This window comes from Homo sapiens, chromosome 2 (genome assembly GCF_000001405.40).
Source record: "Homo sapiens chromosome 2, GRCh38.p14 Primary Assembly".
NCBI lineage: Eukaryota > Metazoa > Chordata > Mammalia > Primates > Hominidae > Homo > Homo sapiens.
Window position 1 is genome coordinate 112,542,225 of NC_000002.12, and position 16,063 is coordinate 112,558,287.

The 16,063-nt window shown below is 41.9% G+C and overlaps 1 protein-coding gene and 1 long non-coding RNA gene across 11 annotated transcripts in view, besides 2 other annotated features; both read left to right on the plus strand.

Annotated features, from left to right (window-relative positions):
* The window catches only part of POLR1B (RNA polymerase I subunit B), a 37,783-nt gene that overhangs the window by 189 nt on the left and 21,531 nt on the right, over positions 1-16,063 (plus strand). For 2 of the 10 annotated variants that reach the window (NM_001371969.1, NM_019014.6), the window contains exons 1-8: positions 241-447; positions 4,788-4,955; positions 5,197-5,343; positions 7,043-7,175; positions 8,642-8,778; positions 9,551-9,774; positions 10,421-10,592; positions 15,686-15,857. In NM_001371969.1, coding sequence (NP_001358898.1) covers positions 271-447; positions 4,788-4,955; positions 5,197-5,343; positions 7,043-7,175; positions 8,642-8,778; positions 9,551-9,774; positions 10,421-10,592; positions 15,686-15,857 — 1,330 coding nt within the window. In that variant the 5' untranslated portion in view covers positions 241-270. Of the gene's footprint in view, positions 1-171; positions 448-3,440; positions 3,699-4,787; positions 4,956-5,196; positions 5,344-7,042; positions 7,176-8,641; positions 8,779-9,550; positions 9,775-10,420; positions 10,593-15,685; positions 15,858-16,063 lie in introns of those variants that run through there. The other 8 variants (NM_001371970.1, NM_001282777.2, NM_001282772.2 and 5 more) reach the window with 8 other exon arrangements.
* Positions 124-273: an enhancer, noted in NCBI's record as "active region_16393". NCBI's record gives its function as "activates an Ori minimal core promoter by ATAC-STARR-seq in GM12878 lymphoblastoid cells {active_cell/tissue: GM12878}" and the evidence as "EXISTENCE:reporter gene assay evidence [ECO:0000049][PMID:35858748]".
* On the plus strand, positions 11,315-12,355 carry LOC124907870 (uncharacterized). Its single transcript, XR_007087194.1, has 2 exons — positions 11,315-11,466; positions 12,300-12,355. It is a non-coding gene; the product is annotated as an uncharacterized LOC124907870 (long non-coding RNA).
* Positions 13,854-14,054: a silencer, noted in NCBI's record as "peak3820 fragment used in MPRA reporter construct". NCBI's record gives its function as "represses an SCP1 promoter by STARR-seq MPRAs in K562 erythroleukemia cells {active_cell/tissue: K562}" and the evidence as "EXISTENCE:reporter gene assay evidence [ECO:0000049][PMID:32103011]".

Below are 16,063 nucleotides of genomic sequence, written 5' to 3' on the forward strand. Positions count from 1 at the left end.
GGAGATGAGTGGGGCGGAATATGGGAGAAAGGGAGGGCCCGCCACGCTCTGGCTGGACACGGCCTTAATCGGCCCGTTCACTCGACGTTTTTGGTTCTACGTTGACCCCGAGAAACCGAAACCGCAGGGCCTAGGGCGGGTGGAACGAGAGGGAACTACATTTCCCAGCAGGCTGCGGAAACGGGACTGCGGCCACTACTTCCGGCGTGTACCGAGAGACTGGCGTCCGGCGTGTACCGAGAGACTGGCGTCCGGTGTGCAGGTGGCCACATGGATCCTGGCAGCCGGTGGCGGAACCTGCCCAGCGGGCCTAGCCTAAAGCACTTGACTGACCCCTCTTATGGAATCCCGCGGGAACAGCAAAAGGCAGCGTTGCAGGAGCTGACGCGGGCGCACGTGGAGTCCTTCAACTACGCTGTGCACGAGGGTCTCGGCCTCGCGGTGCAGGTGAGCGCGGCGTCCGCCGGCGCCCTTGCCGCGGCGAGGCCAATCCCAGGGAGGTGGCTGGGAGGTCACAGTATGACCCCAGATGCATGTGCTCCTTGATCCTGACAGGCTTGGTGGGTAAGCGGGAGAGCACAACATGTTAAACAGGACGCGGTACTGGCCTTCGTGAGACTTGGAGTCGAGGCGTCTTAAGAGATGTATTCGTGATTCTGGAGTGAAAAGTGATTGTGAACCGTAGTTTGGACAGTTTCGGGGTGCTGTGAGAGTGAGGAAGTGGCTTATCTGGGGATGTGCTTCACAATGCACACGGCTTTATATCACTTGAAGACTTACCTCTCCAAAACGTACCTCGAAAGATCCCGAACGTATTTGTAGGTACAGTGTAATGTTCAAGGTTATCCTTCAGTTTCCTTCTCTTAGAGCTTTAAAGAGAGAAACTACTCGTCATTTGTTATGAATTAAGCAGGTGCCGAGGAAGGTATAAATGAGTCATGAAAGCAAGATTGAATCGAAAAGTGTAATTGCATTATTAGCGTAGAGTAATGGTAGCAGAATTCAAGTGAGTATGGTGGGGGAAAGCTTCGTTTAGTAAGCATCCCCAGTGTCTCCAGGCACTAGGCTCAGAGGATGTGGAGGAGGCAGTCCCGTGTACGAGACAGTTCATGCATTTAAGTGCTCCCTGTCGTGTTTGGGGGTTGAAGGGGTGAAGATAATGAAAGCAGTGCATGCCAATGTTCTTGAGAACTGCTCTGCCAAGGGATTGTGTGGGCTACTGCGGGAGCCTATGGGCGGCGCAACTAATCCAGGAGTTTGAGAAAGGGCAGGATTAGATGAGTTCAAGAAGTGAGAAACGTGCATTTCGTCCAGGGGAAGAGTAGAGCAGAGTCACATGCTTCGGGGACCCTACCTGTGGTTTTGTTGGGTAAGATTTGTGTTGTGGGAGATAGGGATACAGATAATGTGGAGAGCTTTGATTGCCAGTCTGATTCTTGAACTCTATTCGGCAAATAATATGGGAGCCATTAAGATTTATTGTTTAGAAAGACTAGAGGGGTGGGGGTTATTTGTATTGTGCCTGGATTGTTACAGTATCATGTCTGTGAGAAAAAATTCCTAATTAAAAGTTAATCGGGCTGGGTGCAGTGGCTCACACCTGTAATCCAGGACTTTGGGAGGCCAAGGCAGAAGGATGACTTGAGCCCAGGATTTCAAGACCAGCTTGGATAACATAGTGAAACCCCATCTCCACAAAAATTTAAAAATTAGTGGGGCATGGTGGTGCGCACCCAAGTAGCTGGTCCCAGCTACTCGGGAGGCTGAGGTGGGAGGATAAGTTGAACCCAGGAATTTGAGGCTGCAATGAGCTATGATTGTGCCGCTGCACTCCATCCTCGGTAACAGAGTGAGACCTGTCTTTAAAAAAAAAAAATCCAATTGAGAAATTTTAGAAAAGCACTAATTTAAAAATAAGCCAGTCGGCTGGGTGTGGTGGCTCTTGACTGTAATCCCTGCACTTTGGGAGGTCAAGGCGGGTGGATCACTTGAGGTCAGGAGTTCCAGACCAGCCTGGCCAACCTGGTGAAACCCCATCTCTACTAAAAAATACAAAAATTAGCCGGGCATGGTGGCACATGTCTGTAATCCCAGCTACTCAGGAGGCTGAGGCACGAGAATCGCTTGAACCTGGGAGGCGGAGGTTGCAGTGAGCCAAGATTGCACCACTGCATTCCAGCCTGGGTGACAGAGTGAGACTCTCCCAAAAAAATAAATACATAAATAAATAAACCAATTATATGTTAACATTTTTAAGAAAAATATTTTCCAAAGCAAAAAAGAAGTTAGATGAATTGCATTATTAAAAATCTTTTTAATGTCTGGCTTAATGAAAAGACAGCTGGATTCTCATGTCTGCTTGTGCATTCAGTCCCTTGTGATAATTGTTTTGGTTGAAGTAGATGAAGAAAATTTGGCCCTGCATAGAAAATGATGCCACAACTTAGCTAGGACTATAATAATATAGTATTTGAAAAAGTTCTGTAAAACACAGTAACATAAATAACTAATACTTATAAAGCCAAGGGAAAAAATAGTTATCATATTTTTTACTTACAAAACATAATTTTGCCAAGTTTCTTTGGAGTGAATTCCTCCTTTCTGTGAGTCAGAATTTATGTGTCTGTCTTTTCAAAATACAATTGATTTTTATTACTTGGGGATTCCATATTTGCAAATTCACCTACTCACTAAAATTTACTTCTACTCCAAAAGCACCATGCCCAGAAGCAGCAAAAAAGTTGAGTTGCTCAGTGTCCATTTTCCCAGCTGAGATCTAACAAGGTGATGCTCGGCCTTCTTGTTTTAAGTTCTTAAACTATAAACAGAGGTTGTCTTCACTATCTATTTAGTGCCGTGTTTTGTGCTTTTTGTTGGTGATTTTGCTGTTTAAAATGTCCCCCAAGCAAAGTATTAAAGTATTAAAGTTCTGTATAAAGTTCCTAAGCACAAGAAGGCTGTGCTGTGCCTTTAGGGGAAAATATTAATACATGCATTTAACATAGGCTTTGTTCAGGCATGCGTTAGGGACTCAATAATATATATTAGATAAGCTGTCCTTAAACAGAAACCCACATAATGCAAGGTTGTGTATTGATCAGTGGATGAAATCATAGGCTTTGTTCAGGCATGAGTTACGGACTCAATAATATGTATTAAATAAGCTGTCCTTAAACAGAAACACACATAATACAAGATTGTGTGTTGATCAGTTGATGAAATGTGACCAGAGGCTCGCAGGAAGCTAACCATGTATTTACCCTAGGAGCAGTGGTTCAGTATTGGCTAATTCAGTGTTTATGGCAACTGTATAGAACATAACTATTATGAATAATGACAGTTCACTGTATTTCCTTCTAAATAGTGCAGCTGCGTCTTGAGAAAGCAAATTGTCTAATCTCTCTTTTTTTAACTTCATTCTGTTTTTTTTTTTGAGACAGGATCTCACTTTGTCACCTAGGCTGGAATGCAGTGGCATGGTTATAGCTCACTGCAGCCTCGACCTTCCAGGATCAAGTGATCCTCCCACGTCAACCTCTTGAGTAGCTGGGACCACAGGCGTGCACCACTATGCCCGGCTAATTTTTTTATTTTTATTTTTTGTAGAGACGGGGTCTCCCTATGTGGCCCAGCCTGGTCTCAAACTCCTGAGCTCAAGTAGTCCTCCTCTCTCGGTCTCCCAAATATTGGGATTACAGGTATAAGCCACTGCATCTGGCTTTTATTTTTAAATAAAATATGAATTTCTAAAATAATACCAGCTTTAGATAACATTTTAAAATTTAGAAAAGGTAAGTTAACTCACGTGAAGGTGGAGAACCTCCTTGGTATTCTTTCTTGGTTCCATTTTTTCATTTTCATTATTCTAAGACTAAGTCTAGGAGGTTGCTTGTAATTAATATATAGGAGAGCTTGGTGATGCCCCTTCCTCAGAACAGCAAAGCTTCCCCTACAGAATGGTACAAAGAAGTAACTTCTGTGGAAGGGGAAACCCAGCCTGGCCACCATCTTTTCCTTTGCATGGCTCTGGCTTCAGTTTGACGTTGCCATTGTACATTAAGCATCTAGTCTTAAATCCTAAAGGATGTTTCCGTATCCTTGCTCTATTAGCAGTAGTCCCATTTGTCTTGCTATGCACATAGACAAGTTAAGAATACACAAGGCTCTTGGTTCAGAGAACAGGAATTTTGTTCTGTTCACAGCTGTATCCCTAGAGCCTACTACAGTCTCTGACACATGTGGTCACTCAAAACAATCTTGTACTAATAATGCTTTGTGGTTTTAAGTATTTAGTGAAGTTATGAGTAGACTGGAGGTAGCTTTTTTTTTTTTTTTTTTTTTTTTTTTTTTTTTTTGAGACGGAGTCTCGCTCTGTCGCCCAGGCTGGAGTGCAGTGGCGTGATCTCTGCTCACTGCAGGCTCTGCCTCCCGGGTTCACGCCATTCTCCTGCCTCAGCCTCCCGAGTAGCTGGGACTACAGGCGCCCACCACCACGCCTGGCTAATTTTTTTTGTATTTTTAGTAGAGATGGGGTTTCACCGTGTTAGCCAGGATGGTCTCGATCTCCTGACCTTGTGATCCTCCCACCTCGGCCTCCCAAAGTGCTGAGATTACAGGCGTGAACCACTGCGCCCGGCCAACTGGAGGTAGCCTTAACTGTCCTTTTTAGGTGTGTCATGGTGGCATCACAGGCATCAATGTTTGTAGAACACATAAGATTTGGAAGAGTCTTAGAGAAAAAATGCCTTGGAAATGCAAGCAATTTAATAGTGTGAATTGCATTTCAGGCTATACCTCCCTTTGAATTTGCTTTCAAAGATGAGCGTATCTCTTTTACTATTCTGGATGCTGTTATCAGTCCACCTACAGTTCCAAAAGGGACCATCTGCAAAGAGGCCAATGTTTATCCAGCAGAATGCCGGGGCCGAAGGAGTACCTACCGTGGGAAGTTGACAGTGAGTACTAGTGATACTGTGTGACTCTCAACACTGCACATATTTGGGAGTAGGGCGGGTGCCTAATAAAGTTTATGCCAGAAATTGCTTTCTTGGTGCTATTGTCTAAGAGATCCCACCTTCTAAATCTAAGGCATAAAATAATTTAATTGATCTTCTTCCTCAGTCTTTGAAAATACTCATTTGTTCTCGTAAATGCAGATATTTCTGTTAAGTAACTTTTTCTCTTGTTTTCATTTAGGCTGATATCAACTGGGCAGTGAATGGAATCTCAAAAGGAATCATTAAGCAGTTTCTTGGCTATGTTCCCATCATGGTGAAATCCAAGCTTTGCAACTTACGTAACCTTCCCCCACAAGCCCTCATTGAGCACCATGAGGAGGCAGAGGTAATGACGGGCGTCCAGGCATGAGACAGTAGAGAAGGCCTGGGTTGGGAGTAAGAAGACAAGAAGTGTGTCAGTGTTTTCTTTCTGTGCTCCAATTTCTGGATAGGTGAAAGAGATATCAGTATCTTGCCTGCATACAGTGTATGGCTCTGAATAACTATCAAATTAGACAGTATGAAAAAGTGGCTGTAAAATTAGAGAATATTATTGTTCGGGGGGAAGAACTGGTAGGTTTTTCCCTAATTTTCTGAATGATAGAGACATACTTCCACAAAATTTGTTTTTTTTTTCAAGCTGTCTTAATCCACAAAGCTATTGTCAAAAATGTCTATTTATCTGGGCATGGTGGTGGCATGGATCTGTAGTCCCAGCTAACTGGGAGGCTGAGGCGGGAGCATCAGTTGAGCCCAGGAGGCCTCACTACAGTGAGCCATGATTGTGCCACTGCACTCCAGCCCGGGAGACAGAGTGAGACCCCGTCACTAAAAAAGTGAAATAAAAATGTCTGCTTTGCTAACAGTAAGATTCTGTGCGCATATTAAATGACTTATATGCATTCCCTTCATCATTTCTTTCAGCTATATTAGGTGGCTTTGCAGAGTTGAGTTGAGGTAATCAAGATGAACAAACAGTGCCTACTAAATAGGTAGATGGTGTTATGTGGTGGGAAGAGGGTTTTGGTGTCAGATCTGGGTTTGACACACAGCTCTTCCGCTTATCAGTCTTGTGGTTTGGGGAAGTTAATCTCCCTGAGCCTCAGTTTCCTCTGCTGCAAGTGGGTATAATAGCTACCCCACTCATTGTTATGAGAATTAAATGTTATGATAACATAGAGCACCTACTATAATATGCCTGTTTCATAGTAGGCAATTCGTAAATAGTAGCTGTTTATTACAGAAATGTGATATTGAGCAGAGCTATTAAAAATATTTTTCTATTTAGCTAATCCAAATTTCTGGTTTCCAGAGCTTTCATACAATCAAGTTTTTGAACGTATTTGGGAAACCATACTCGTATGGAAGCAAAATGGTTACAGTTTTTATCTTTCTTTTTTTTTTTTTTTGAGACGGAGTCTCCCTCTCTCACCCAGGTTGGAGCGCAGTGGCGCAATCTTGGCTCACTGCAAGCTCCGCCTCCTGGGTTCAAGCCATTCTCCTGCCTCAGCCTCCCGAGTAGCTGGGACTACAGGCGCCCACTACCACGCCTGGCTAATTTTTTGTATTTTTAGTAGAGACGGGGTTTCACCGTGTTAGCCAGGATGGTCTTGATCTCCTGACCTTGTGATGCTCCTGTCTCGGCCTCCCAAAGTGCTGTGATTACAGGCGTGAGCCACCGCGCCCGGCCCAGTTTTTATCTTTCAACACCTCTTTGGAGTAAGTTTTTTTTAGTGTTATTTGAAGACTGAAGTCATTTTAGGGGACAGAAAGGCAAGATAGGTTGAGCCTGTCTGATAAAGAGAAGTACCCTGTTTTTCTTCCATACTTTTTTCCCATGTCCCTAGGACCTTTGTAATATACTTGAGAAAACTGTTAATTCACACAAAGACAGTGTCTGTGTACTGTTTTCAAGGGATCAGTAGTACATTTCACCTCTGTGTTCCTATTCTGTGTGTTGTACTACCTTTGGCTAGGAGTGAGGTTCATGTTTACAGTTAGTCATGTATCTTTGTTTAACAAGTTGCAATTCATCTTTTTGGCAGGAAATGGGGGGCTATTTTATAATCAATGGCATTGAAAAAGTCATCCGAATGTTGATTATGCCTCGGAGAAATTTTCCCATTGCAATGATAAGACCAAAATGGAAAACCAGAGGGCCTGGTTATACTCAGTATGGTAAGTTCTGGAGATTATTAGAATATTTTTTAAGGAAAATTTAAAACTTTTTTTTTTTTTGAAGTAGATGCATCCAAATGGTCTTTGATATTTTTGTTTCTTTTTTTTTTTTTTTTTGGTAGGGATGGGGTTTCACCACGTTGCCCAGGCTGATCTCGAACTCTTGGGCTCAAGCAGTCCTTCTGCCTCAGCCTCCCAAAGTGCTGAGATTACATGCATGAGCCACCGTGTCTGGTCTTTCTTTTGTTTTTTGTTGTTTTTCTATTGAGCATTCTTGTGTTAAGTTTTCATAATTGGGATGGAAGAAGAAATGGAGAGATGTTAGTCAGAGGATACAGACTTGCAGTTACAAGATGAATAAGTTCTGGGGATCTGATGTACAGCCTGGTGATGATAGTAATACTGTACTGCTTAAAATTGATGAGTACATTTTAAGTGTCTCAACCACACACGCGTGCACACGTACTACAAATGATAACTATGGTGATTGATGTTTTCATCAGTTTGATTGTGGAAATCATTATAATATATGTATATGTATATTCAAGGTATTGTACACCTTGAATATATATGATTTTTATCAATCATAAGCATTTTAAAATTCACTTTTGCTAACTGAAAGAGCATGTGTATTTTTGTTACTACTTATGAAGATGAAAGCTAGTCTGGCTTGGCCATAAGTGGGTGTGGGTCTTGGCTGTCTTCTGGTTCAGGCTGCTGCACTTTTGCAAACTGAAAGAGCATGTGTATTTTTGTTACTACTTATGAAGATGGAAGCTAGTCTGGCTTGGCCATAGGTGAATGTGGGCCTTGGATGTCTTCTGGTTCAGGCCACTGTGGTACACCCCTCAGGGTCTCTGTCTGACAGCCACCTGGCCTCTGTTGGAACATTCTCTTTGACAATGCCTAAGACAGCATGTTGTATTCTTGAGCAACCCTGACAGTTAAACAATTTGTCCTGATAGTTGAGCTAAAAATCAGACCTTAATTATAGCCATACATACTATACCTAGAAAAACAGCATGCCTGAATGTCTAGTGATTTTCTTTTGCATCAGTTGATGGTAGTATGTCTTAGCAGTCTTTGCCTGAAACTGAAATAAAATCTAAAATTCTACTTTTCTCCATTGGAACTATTAGATCAAGCACCATGTCTTGACCAGACTCCACAGTTTAAGGCAGATATAAAGTGCTAAAAGATGTGGACTCTGTCCTGGAGGGAAACTTTGAAGTTTGCTTAAATTCATAGTTTCGGTTATTTTACATTAGTGTTTCTCAATCTGGGTAGATTTTGCATGCAAGAGGACATTTGCTGAGGTTTAGAAACATTTTTGATTGCCAGTCTTGGCTAAACTTAGTGATTTGGCTTTAATTGTGTCTAAGAGGTTAAGATTGTTCAGAAAGAAAATGGTTGAAGCAATTAAGATATCAATGAGTTTCTGATTTTTTTGTTGTTTGGTTCAATAGGAGTTTCAATGCACTGTGTGAGGGAAGAACATTCCGCTGTCAATATGAACCTCCACTACTTGGAAAATGGCACTGTTATGTTGAACTTTATTTACCGAAAAGAACTGTTCTTTCTTCCTTTGGGATTTGCACTTAAGGTATGACTTAATGAATGCATTCTTTTGTTATGAAGAAATTCACTGGGGGTAGTATCCTGTGCACATTGGATGGATTCTCCTTGTTAAAATAATACTGTACTAGTTGTCTACTGCTCCAAAACAAATTACGTCAAAATTCAATAGCTTAAAACTCAATAACATTTCTGTCTCACAGTTTCTGCGGGTCGGGAGTTTGGGAGTGCTTTGGCTGGGCACTTGTGGCCCAGGGTCTCAGGAGGTTGCATGGAGATGTCAGACAGGACTGCAGTCATTTTCAGGACTTCCAAGGTGGCTCACTCACATGGCTGGCAAATCTGCTGGTTGGTGGCAGGAGGTCTCCTCATGGGGTTGCTCTCTACATGGCCCTTTCTGTAGGCTGCTTGAGGCAACTGTCTTCCTCCATATAGTTAGCTGAGAGAACAGAGAGCAGAAGATGCAGAAGGAAAAAGCTGCAGTGCCCTTTGTGATCTAGCCCTGGGAGTCTCCCATTATCTTTTTCACCACATTCTCTTGGTCAAGCAGGCCAGCCTTGATTCGGCATGGGAGGAAACTACACGTTTGTGAACACCAGGAGATGAGGACCCTGGAGGCAATTGTGCTGTCTGGCTATCATACAAAGAATGCTTTATTTTAGAGAGTTTACTTTGATTCAGCAATAGCAGAGTGCTAATTTTCCTTGGGTATTAAAAAAATGAGAGAAGATAATTATTAGTGAATAGATAAAGTATTTTAGTTATTAGTGAGCAATTAAACCTTTTATTTTCTATTCTAGGCACTTGTCAGCTTTTCTGATTATCAGATCTTTCAGGAGCTCATCAAAGGAAAAGAGGATGATTCTTTCCTTAGGAACTCTGTTTCTCAGATGTTAAGGATTGTAATGGAAGAGGGTTGTTCGACACAAAAACAGGTCCTTAACTACCTAGGTGAATGCTTCAGAGTAAAACTCAATGTTCCTGACTGGTACCCAAATGAGCAAGCTGCGGAGTTCCTGTTTAAGTATGTGTGCTTTGTCTAAACTGTTTTTGGAGGGGCGGAGGGCTGTCAGTGGTTCTTTGTATTGGTTGCAGTTTGGGCGGGCGAGTCATTTGGGAATGAGAATGAATCTTGGGGTAGAATCCTGGTCCTTGCTAGCCGGGGGCTACCTTTGTTTTTGCGGCCCTCCTCACTTGTATTTTTTTAGTAGTCGTGTTTTATTTTATAGTACTTTTTAACTTTTATTTTGAAATAATTTCAGACTTCCAGAATAATGTCCAAATAGTACATTGGATTCTAATTGTGAACATTTCATTCATTTACATTTACTTTTTTACTTTCTGTGTACACAGATGTACATTTTTCTTTCTGTACAATCCCTGAAAGTTGCAGGGATTGTATCACTTTATTTCTCCAAAGCAAGGACTTTGTCTTATATAACCACTGTATAATTACTAAAGAAGCCAGCTCCATACTGGTGCTGTCCAGTGCATAGCCACCAGTCACATGATAAGCACTTCAAATGTGGCCAGTGTAGCTCAAAAACTGAATGCTTAATTTTATTTAATTAAAGTTAAGTAAGCATGAGTTGGGGATCTTGGTTAATAGAATATTAAGTAGTATTACCAACTGAATTGTTTTAAGCTTTTTTTTTTTTCTGTTTTCACAGCCAGTGCATCTGTATCCACTTGAAATCCAATACTGAAAAGTTTTATATGCTTTGTCTCATGACGCGAAAGCTCTTTGCTTTAGCCAAAGGAGAGTGCATGGAGGACAATCCTGATAGTTTGGTGAACCAGGAAGTCCTCACACCGGGTCAGCTCTTCCTTATGTTCCTGAAGGTAAATGCATGCTATGTCCACCCTTGGCCAGTGGTACCACTTGTGGAATGGCGTGACTTTGTCCAGCAGCACTGTTTTCTGCATGTTTATAGTTTCTAGTTTTGGCATTTTGTGTGGTCTCTTTTTTGTTTGTTCATTTAGCAGTAAGGGGATCAGAAATCCTGGCTTACACCAGGTTTGGAAATTTGCTTAATATTTTTATGTAAAGATCACATCAAATCTTGGTCACAGTGTTAATGATAAAAAGCAAATGGCCTGTATTTATACATATGGTTGATCCTCATTATTTGTAGATTCTGTATTTGTGAATTCACTCACTGGCTAAAATTTATTTGTAACCCTAATGTCAGTGCTCAGTGCTTTCATGATTATTCACATACATGAGCAGAGCAGTGAAGAATTTGGGTCTCCTGAGGCAAATGTTACAGCTGAGGCGGGGCAGGGCGATGCTCTGCTTTCCGGTTTCAGCTCATACTATAAAGAGGGTCCTTTTTGAGGTGCATTTGGTGCTATGTTTTTCACATTGTCGTGCTTCTTATTGGTGACTTTTTTGTTTTTTTTTGAGACAGGGTCTCAGCCTCAACCTCCCAGGCTCAAGCAATCCTCCCACCTCAGCCTCCTGAGCAGCTGGGACTATAGACATTCACCACCACACCCGGCTAATTTTTAATTTTTTTTGTAGAAACAGGGTCCCACTATGTTGTACAGGCTGGTCTCAAACTCCTGGGCTCATGTGATCCTCCTGTTTCAGCCTCCCAAAGTGATAGGATTGGAGACATGAGCCACTGAGCCTGGCCAGTTTTTGCTGTTTATAATGGTCCCCAAGCATAGCACTGAAGCGCTGTCTAGTGTTCAGTGTTAATGAATTAACAAGGTATGTTAAATAAGGTGCCTTTCAACAAAAGCTGACATTAAACAAGATTGTATATTGATCCGTTGACCAGAATGTTATGACCAGAGACTTGCAGGAACCCAGCCCTGTATTTTTCCCCAGGAGTAGTGGTTTTATATGTGTTAATTCAGTGTTCATTAGAACATAGCTACTGTGAGTAGTGAAATTTGACTGTAGATGTATATAGAGAGAAAGTTGGCATGGCACAAAAATGATTTCATAAGAATATTGATTCAGTGGCATTTTATATTTTGCATCTTATCCTCAAAAAGATGTAATCTAAGAGTTAATATATTTTTAGTAGAGGTGGGGTTTCACCATTTCAGCCAGGCTGGTCTCGAACTCCTGACCTCAGGTGATCCACCTGCCTCAGCCTCCCAAAGTGCTGGGATTACAGGTGTGAGCCACTGTGCCTGGCTTCTAATTTATTTTATTTTATTTTGAGACAGAGTCTTGCTCTGTCTCCCAGGCTGGAGTGCAGTGCTACGATCTCAGCTCACTGCAACCTCCACCTCCCGGGTTCAAACAATTCTCCTGCCTCAGCCTCCCGGGTATCTAGGATTACAGGCGCGTGCCACCATGCCCGGCGAATTTTTTTATTTTTAGTAGAGACGGGATTTCACCATGTTGGCCAGGCTGGTCTCGAACTCCTGACCTCAAGTGAGCCACCCACCTTGGCCTCCCAAAGTGCTAGGATTACAGGCGTGAGCTACCACACCCGGCCTTCTAATTTCTTATCTAGGTAGTAATTCTTATTTACATTCTTCCCGAAAGGTAATAATCTTTGTTTCTGTTTGCTCTGTCCATAAAATTAGATTGAAAAATTTCAGCAGCCTACAATTTTCCTGACAAAAATTGAAAGCAGGCAGCGTAAGTTTTCTCTTATTAATTTAATGTTATTAAATTAACCTTTCAAGTAAAGGTTAATTTACATTTCCCATCTACTTAAAGTGAAGCATGGTGGGCTCATTGTATTCCACACTTATAAATGTGTCTTTATTCCACATCAATTCCTAATTAGGAAAAAAAAGAAAAGAAAAAGAAATGAGACCAGGAGTACAGTGGCTCATGCCTGTAATCCCAGCACTTTGGGAGGCTGAGGCAGAAGGGTAACTTGAGCCCAAGGAGTTTGAGACCAGCCTGGACAGCACAGAGAGATCGCTACAGAAATAATAAAAACTATTAGCAGTGGCTGGGTGTGGTGGCTCACGCCTATAATCCCAGCACTTTGAGATGCCAAGGTGGGTGGATCTTCTGATCTCAGGAGTTCAAGACTAGCCTGGGCAACATTGCAAAACCCTGTCTCTACAAAAAATATAAAAATTAGCTGGGCATGCTGGCATGCTGCAGCAATTCCAGCTACTCAGGAGGCTGAGGTAGGAGAGTTGCATGAGCCTGGGAGACGGAGGTTACAGTGAGTTGAGATCACGCCACTGCACTCCAGCCTGGGCGACAGAGCAAGACCCTGTCTCCAAAAAAAACCTGTTAGCTGGGCATGGTGGTACATGACTGTGGTCCCAGCCACTTGGGAGGCTGAGGTGGGATCCCTGAGCCCAGGAGGTCAAGGCTGCAATAAGGGGTGATTTTGCCACTGCACTCTAGCCTGGGCAAAAGAGCAAGACCTTATCTCAAAAAGAAAAAAGAAAAAAACACCTGGTGCGGTGGCTCACACCTGTAATCCCAGCACTTTGGGAGGCCGGGGTGGGAGGATCACTTGAGCCCAGGAGTTTGAGATCAATCTGGGCAAACAGCCCAGAGACAAAACTTCGTCTCTACAAATAATTTTAAAAAAATTTAGCCAGGCCTGGTGGGCCACACCTGTGGTCCCAGCTACTCAGCAGGCTGAGGTAAGAGGATTGCCTGAGCCCAGGCGGCGGAGGATGCAGTGTGCTGTGATCACGCCAGTGCACTCCAGCCTAAGTGACAGAGCAAGACCCTGTCTCAACAGAAAAAAGAAATGAGTCTTCTGTAGCAAGGCGTTACTAAGGTGACCTGTGTCAGCAACAAGAGAAACCAAGGGAAAATTGGGGCTTTTTCAGAGAATTCATTGCCGAGTATCTGATTTCCTTACCAGCTACGTTAAAGCTTTTAAACCTTTGAGTTTGGAGCATAAAAACAATCTTCAGAAGATACATAACCATGACATAAGATGAATTATAGACTGTTAAAAATTCACATTGTATTTACATTGAAATAAGCAATATAAAATTGAAAAATAGCAACCATATTTTCTGTATTATTGTAGATTAACCATAAAACACTTCAGTTAGCCTTTCTGGTTTTGATTTTAAACCCAAATAAGGAAGTAGACATAGTTATGAAAAAAAAGGGAGAAGAACACAAACAAATCAGTTGTCAAGATCCAGGGCTTCTTATTCCATCTTGACTGTGAAGATGAAGTGTTCAGTGTACACCTGATAAAAACATTTATGACACAGGAAGATGTAGGCTCAAGAAAGGAATCTAAACAGCAACCAGCAGAGGTGGAGCAGTGATGCCAGGCTCTTCTACTCAAACTTGATTCTCTAGTTTCACTTGATAAAGTCCAAACCTACATTAATACCCTTGTTGGGTGAGCTAACAGCTTCCTTCACTCCCTGGTAATTCCCTTATCTGTACATTACAGATTTTTAGCAGTGTACTTACAAATCCTACTAGTGTGTAGTCAGTTGTGAGATTCATTGTAACATTTTATAAAATATATTCCTTCTTCCCACACCTCTCCAAAATTTATTCCTTCCAAGTACTAAAAATTTAATATTACTGCACCACAGTGATATTAAATGCAGTGTCAGTGCCAGAGAATATGCAGAAATGAAATGTGTCACTTCCAGTGCTGTCTTCTGGAAGAATAGTTAGGTCTTCCAAGTGTGAGTGTTCAAACACTGATAGTTTGAAGAGGTGGATTATCAATAGTCAATGGCTAATGTGTTGACTCAGGGGCCTGCTGGAAAAGGTATACATGAGTGACCTATGTACATCTTCCACGTTTTCTTCCAAATATCAAATATAGGAGAGAACCTATCTCAAACATTCTCTTAGGTATTTTCAGTGGTTTCTGAACCACCCATAGAAAGCGCTGATGGTGTATAGTCTTTTTTTCTTTTATTTTTAGTTGACATGTAATAACTGTACATATTTATCGGGTATACAGTGATTTTTCCATATATGTCAATAATGTATAATGATCAAATCAGAGTAATTAACACATTCATCACCTCAAACATGTATCATTTTTTTGTGTTGTGAACATTCGAAATCCCCTCTTCTAGCTTTTTGAAAATATACAATAAGGCTGGGTGTGGTGGCTCACGCCTGTAATCCCAGCACTTTGGAAGCTGAGGCAAGAGGATTGCTTGAGCCCAGGAGTTTGAGACCAGCCTAGGCAACAAAGTGAGACCCCCATCTCTACAAAAAAAATTTAAAAATTAGCCAGGCATGGTGGCACATACCTATGGTCCCACCTACTTAGGAGGTTAAGGCAGGAGAATCCCTTGAACCCAGGAGGTTGAGGCTGCAGTGAAAAAATATACAACAAATATAGTTAACTGTATTCAACCTACATTGCTGCAGAATACCAGAACTCATTCCTCCAGTCTAGCTGTAATTTTGGAATTGCAGGCTGCTTTAGGCTTTTCACTTAGTGTTGGCAGCATAGATTAAGATGGACTGTGTAGTTCGTGTGATTGGTTTTAGATGTATAACAAGTATAATGGGTGAAGGAGGGCATCACATTGAAGAGCTATCCTTTCTGCACCTGAAAAGCCCTCTTTCAGGTTTTTGGTTTTGATGTATGTTAGTAGACGTTTGTTAAAGATCGTACAGATTACATGGGAATAAATATGAAGTTTGTGATAATTGAAACACATACTATTTTATTTTATTGAGAATAGGGTCTTGCCCTGTTTCCCAGGCTGGAGTGCAGTGGCACAGTCATGGCTCACTGAAGCCTTAGGCTCCTGGACTCAAGCGATCCTTCCGCCTCAGCCTCCCAAGTAGCTGGAACTACAGGCACGCCCCACCCCCTCACCCCACCCCCTCTGGCTAATTTTTTTGTAGACAGGGTTTTGTTTCACCATTTTGCCCAGTCTCATGTTGAACTCTTGGTCTCAAGCGATCCACCCAATCCTGGGATTATAGATGTGAGCCACCACACCTGGCTCACATACTATTTTATATTAATTTTTTTTCCTTATTTCAGGAAAAACTGGAAGGTTGGTTAGTGTCTATTAAAATAGCTTTTGATAAGAAGGCTCAGAAGACCAGTGTTTCCATGAACACTGACAATTTGATGAGGATTTTTACAATGGGCATAGACCTTACAAAACCATTTGAATACCTTTTTGCTACTGGGAATCTGCGTTCTAAAACAGGTAAAATTAAATCGATCGTTTTAGTTATGTTTTTCAAATTAGTTGCTTAGTGTAGATTTGCCTGTCCCTGAGAGTTCTTTTTAAAAGCAAACCCCACGAAAAAAGTAAATTTCTCATAACTATGACTTCGACAACTATTGGTCTAAAGGGCTTTAGACAAGGTGTCTGTATAGCTAAAATTTAATTCAGATAACTGAATACATTTT